The sequence below is a fragment of the Homo sapiens genome, chromosome 12 (assembly GCF_000001405.40).
Source record: "Homo sapiens chromosome 12, GRCh38.p14 Primary Assembly".
In the NCBI taxonomy this organism is placed as follows: domain Eukaryota; kingdom Metazoa; phylum Chordata; class Mammalia; order Primates; family Hominidae; genus Homo; species Homo sapiens.
The window spans coordinates 102921797-102927819 of NC_000012.12; the positions used below are offsets into that span (position 1 = coordinate 102921797).

At 37.0% G+C, this 6023-nt stretch overlaps 1 protein-coding gene across 1 annotated transcript in view; it reads right to left on the reverse strand.

Moving 5' to 3' along the window:
- The window catches only part of PAH (phenylalanine hydroxylase), a 121553-nt gene that overhangs the window by 84908 nt on the left and 30622 nt on the right, over positions 1-6023 (reverse strand). The gene's annotated exons all lie outside the window — the stretch shown is intronic.

Genomic DNA, 6023 nt, shown 5'->3' on the forward strand with positions numbered 1-6023 from the left:
TCTCACCATAGAGCCTATTTTAACTTTCCGCTAGATATATAGATCAAATTTTCTTTCTCTGATTTGAAAGTTATCCCTTATATTTTAATTTTTTTGCTGTATTTTTATTTTTTTGCTCCAAGTTATATAATTTTTTCCTTTTAGATATAACTTTTTTCATTTATTTTTGAGGAGGTGAGCACTCATATGGCTCAAACATCAAAATATAAAACCTAGTGAAAATTATTTCACATTCCCCTGTTCATCAGGCACCTGATTCTCTTCTCCAAAGATAACCAATGTTGTCAGTTTCTTCTAGAGATCTTTAAGCAAATATTTATGATAGTGTATATGCATATATTCCTTCCCTCCTTTTCTTACACAAATAGTAGCATACTATACATGATTCTAAATCTTGCCTTTTTTTTTTTTTTTTTGAGATGAAGTCTCGCTCTGTTGCCAGGCTGGAATACAGTGGTACGATCTCAGCTCACTGCAACCTCCACCTCCCCAGTTCAAGTGATTCCCCCACCTCAGCATCCTTAGTAGCTGGGTCTACAGGTGCGCACCACCATGCCCAGCTAATTTTTTGTATTTTAGTAGAGACAGTGTTTCATCATGTTGGCCAGGTTAGTCTCGATCTCCTGAACTCATGATCCACCCACCTCAGCCTTCCAAACTGCTGGGATTACAGGCGTGAGTCACCACGCCCGGCCCTAAACCTTGCCTTTTTAAACTTTAAACTTAATGATATATCTTGAGGTCACGCTGTTTACTACAGGAAGACCTTATTTATTCTTTTGTAATGGCTCCATTGTATTTTTATGTGGATTATCGTAATTTATTTCATCAGTACTCTGTTGGTAAGTATTAACATTTATGTTGTTTCTAATCTTTCACTATTACAAGTAATGCTTTAATGAAGAACTTTGTATGTATCATTTTACACATGTGTAAGAAGATAGCTATGTGAAATAATACATTAAGTTGAATGTATGAGTCAAAGGACATGAGAATGTATCATTTTAGTACATACTGACAAATTACCCTTTAGAGGATGACCATATAATTTATTATCCATGTTGGAATGTTTTGATAGTGAAAGGAGGTACTAGTTATAATTACACAGAAAAAAAACCAGATATAAATTGGACTGTCTCCGTTAAACGGTTATGTATGGTCTATCAATCCATATGAGTTCTACCAACTTACATTTTACCAACAAAATATAAGAATGTCCACTTTCCCTATAGTTTTCAACCCAATGTGACATTGTATACTTTACCACTGGGCAAATGTCAACAAGTAAGTTCAGATTTACAGAAAGACCAGACATCACTTGAGTAAATCAAGAGGTCTGCTGAGTCAAGATTCACAGCAAAAAGATCATCAGTATCACCTATGAACAAGCAGGATATGTTTACAGCAGGGGGTACACACTTGTGGATGATAATGCCTGCGTGAATGAGAGATATGCTAGACCTTATGGAAGCTCAGCTCCTCCTTCACACACAGCCTGATGAGCATGAGACTAAAGCAGTTCTGGACAGGGACTTGACTGTATACAACAAACTTGGTTTCAGCATAACACGTTAATCACACATTGCACAGTTTGGTGAAATGGATATAGCACAGGGTACCCTTATGCCTGAACAAACTTCTCATTAATCATATTCAAGCTCTTCATGCTAATGTAAGTTGCTTGAACCAAGAACATTTATAAATTTATTGCTGTGGGACCAGAACAAATGTTAGGTACCCAGGCATGTGGCCTATAGACCATCCATGAGAACTTACCAAAATTTTTGATTCTCACCATTCTAGAGGGGGAAAAACATATTATAGTTTAAATTAGAATGTACCTTATTTTGAGCAATGTTTGTACATATTTAAAAGTAATTTCTATTGTTATTTCTGTGAACTGTCTACACCTAAGATGTCTAAATTCTGATTATTTCTCTAATGGGATATTTTGTACCTGTCTTGGGGATTTCCCAGAGGTTTTTCAACATGGTCTCACAGTCCAGATAATACCACCTGACTTAAAGAGGTCCATCCCACAATCAATTGTCTTTTGGGGTTATCTCACCGTGCAGCCTATTTTAAGAAAAACATACCTTTGTCCTGCCAATGGTGGAGTCCAGCTTCTTCTCTGGACTTCTTTTCTGTCTATGCTCAATATTCAAAGAAGTTATCCAGTTTCTTGCCTTTATACACGAGTTAGGCAGTTTCTACACCTGCAAAATCCAGAGGACGTAGGCCAAGCTCTCTGGTAGGTTCTTTTTAACCACCCTAACTTGGTATAAGGTAAAGAGGAGGGAATACTTCTCCCCTTCCAATGGAAGCAAAAGAGAAATGTCACAGCACATTGACACATCTCTAGTGAAATTCTCTTCCCAGCCATTTGTTTTAGTCTTCTGGTTTGTTCTTATAAATCCTTACAGTGAGTATTGAATCTAATGCTGCAAAATGGGATTCTCCATCTCTTAGCATGCATGTCCTGTATAGAAAGTCTCAAACTCCAAAGCAGCAAAAACAAAACAATCACATTCAATGTACTATTAGCAGCAACTAGACTGATGGGTTTTTTTTTTAAATTAAGCTACTTCCTTAAATATTTAACCAGTTTTATGCATTTGTAAAGAATTTAACAAATGGAGATGTTAGAGACAATTTCTATGGCATTTCTATATATCTTGGACTACCTTTTCAAGGATATATGCACAGCAAAGAGCATTAGAGGCTAGTCTGTCCCTTTGGGTCAGACAGCAGAATTATTTATTGTCCAGTATAATAATTACAGAGAACATCTCCATCTCTGAAGACATTCCATAATAATAAAGTCTTCAACCTCTCACCAGAAGAAAACTTGTTTCCATGCCAAGGTAAAGATAATGCCTATCTTTGAAGAGGAGGATGAGGAAGTTGCCATCAGCTTCTGTATGAATCAGAATGTCCTAAGCTCAGTGTTCCTTGGCTGTGAAACTGTATGCTCAGCATACACCTGGATCTACTCTGCATTACCCATGGACTTGGGGGACAAGGAGAATCAATGAAAATATGGACCTCATGTTGCCTATTGTGCCCTGAACAATAAACTGTGTAAATTCATTTGGATTCCTGGTTTACTCATTTGCCAATGTTATGAAAGTGTGGAAAGTCTGCCTAGAAGTTACACTGATGTTCAGGAATTGCTTGGCAAGTTGATAGGAAAGAAAGGGACCTGTGGCATATACAGCTAGGTTCTCCATTTTCTTTCCTTCTTTCGCATGGAAATGGAAACTCAATATTAGTTTTCCCCAATCCTTCATAGAATAAAAACTGCCTTTCCCAGCCTTTCTTGCAGCTGAGTGTAACTACAGGTCTAATATTTGGCCAAAGAAATGCAAGGAGAAGTAGTCTGTGCAATACCTAAGTAGTGTCCATAGAGGAGGCACACCCTTCTCCTTTTATTTTCTCCTTCTTGCAGGATGGAATGCAGATATGCTGACTGGAGCAGGAGCAGCCATATTGCATTATAAGGTAAATTTAGGAATGGAGACATGTTTTTCAGAGCAAAGGAGGAAAGGTTCAAGACAGAAGAAGCATTTGTGGTTATTGATATCATAAAGCATCACTTCAGCAGCCTTAGACTGCTGACTTAGAATTTGATGAGAAAAATTAACTTCTACTTTCTTTAAACTCATTTTTTTGACGTTTCTGTCACTCACAATCAAATCTAATCACAACAATCTAAGAGACACGGATTGATATTTAAGATGGATTTACTTGTCCTAAAACTGTTCTTTCTTCATCAGACTTCAGAGAAAAATGCAACGTCTCATTGCAGACACAAAGGAGACTTCCTAATAAGTCAGCATGACTCACGAACTTCTTCAGAACCTTGTTTCAATGGCATCCTTCGTTTTAGTCTAACTTTTCCCTCACAGACAACCCAGAAATCTAAAGATCAGCCAAAGCCCACATAAACCCAATGCAATTAAGGTATGAAGTCATGGTTTTCATTAAAATAAGATTTCAGGCAGGCTATTCCAGGAATTCTTAGCAGAATTTAGACTTTACATTGAGTCATAATAAAGTCAGTTAGTAAATCAAGTGCATTTGATCCAAGTTTAAGTACAAACCAATATATATATAATATACATTATATGTATGATCTCAAGACTCTGAAGTCATTGCATGAGCATCCCTTCTCGGCAACATCAGAGTGAGATCACTGAGGTGCTGTCATTCATGCACACATTTATTCAACAAACGTTTGTTGAAGATGTACTAAGTGCCAGGCACTGTTTATGATAAACAGGAGAGTCTACTCAAAGTAATTTCACATCCTATTAGGAAACAGGAACATTAAATAAATAGACAAAAAAGGCAAGATAAACTCAGTACTTACAGTGACCAAGAAGACACTGAGTTTTAAAAAGAGGTAAGAGACTATATGGGGGATACTGGTTTAAGTCGGGTGCTGAGGGAAGATCTATTCAACAAGGTAATGTTTGAGCTGAGAACTGAATTATGGAAAGGCTCCAAATGCAAAGAGCTAGGGGAAGGGATTTCTGGTAGAGGAAACATCTATACAAAATCTCTAATATATGAGTAAATGGGACTTTTCTGAGGAGCATACATAAGCCAGTTGTTGGGGGGGCGGGTAAAGAGAGTGAAAAGGAGAGAGGTGTAAGCTGAGTCTGGAGAAGTAGGCACGACAAATTCATGTAACTGGTTCATAGCCAGTTGTGAGCTAAAAGTATTAGACTGGTGCAAAAGTAATTGCAGTTTTTGCCATTAAAAAAATGCAAAAACCACAATTACTTTTGCACCAACCTGATAGTTCACATAGACATTCCAGAGACTATTTTTCAAGAACTTATCAATAATTTTGTGAGCATATTTCTAAACAGAACCACAATTAAAAACAAAATTATGTAAATTTGTGATTGAATCAATTATATTAAAAACAAAGGTAATAAATACTCCAAGAAGATTACTTCTAATTACTTTACTGCATTTTATTACTACCTATGCTTTTAATGTTATTTTATGTCCATTGTATCTATGTGGTAGAAATATGACATAATATGCTACTGTACCTCTCTTCCCAATTCTGTGTTCAGTGACATGATGTTGGTAGCTTGAAGTCAGTCATAGAGTGAGTCTTTACACCATGATAATTAGCAAGCACTGTTTGTTTGGGTGGGTGGGTTGCTAAACATTTACCGCAACCCCACTGACTATTACTATGGTAGCAAAGTCACAAATAGGACTGGATTGAAGTCTGATGGCTCAGAGGACAGAGCAACAATGTCATTAGGAATAGAAGACACTTAGGGGCAGAGAAGGCTCAGCCATTGATAACAGAGAAAGGGACATCAAATCCAAAGTTATCAGGGTATGCTTGGTCTGAAGAAAAATTCAAGGTGAAAGCTAGGGGAGGCTGCCAAAATGGAAGGCTTAGGAGTAAGGATCAACACTCACCAGGTCAATTCATACACTACATCTTCAAAAAAGTTTTTTTTTTTTTTTTTTTCTGACTCATTGCTCCTAGTCAGAGGTGGGCATCCTTCCTTGGCCCAGATACTGCCTGGCAGTTTTCTCTGCAAACTCACACACTCTCTTGTGATTTTGTTTCCACTCTTCTGTCTCCTCTCCTGGACTAAGAACTCTCAGGACAGAGATCAAATATCAGTATTTCTAAATCCTCAGGACTAAGCATGGTGCCTGATGCACATTATGTGTTCAATGCTTACTAGTATAATCAGAAATGTAGAAAAATATGCACAAGTATGTTCAGGGCAACATGATTCCAGATAGTGTGGGGAGAAATGAAATCTTCAGCTCAGGGAAAATAATTAATTACAGTTTATTCAAATAATAGCTGCAGCCACAAAAAAAAATTAAGATTATAAAAGTGTGATATTTTACAATTTACACAATTAAGCTATGAATAATTACTGATAAAAGATACAAAGCCTTGTATTCCTCATTATGTAGGTACGTCAAGAAGCATACACCCCAACCCTATGCCAAAAAACAAACAAACAAAAACC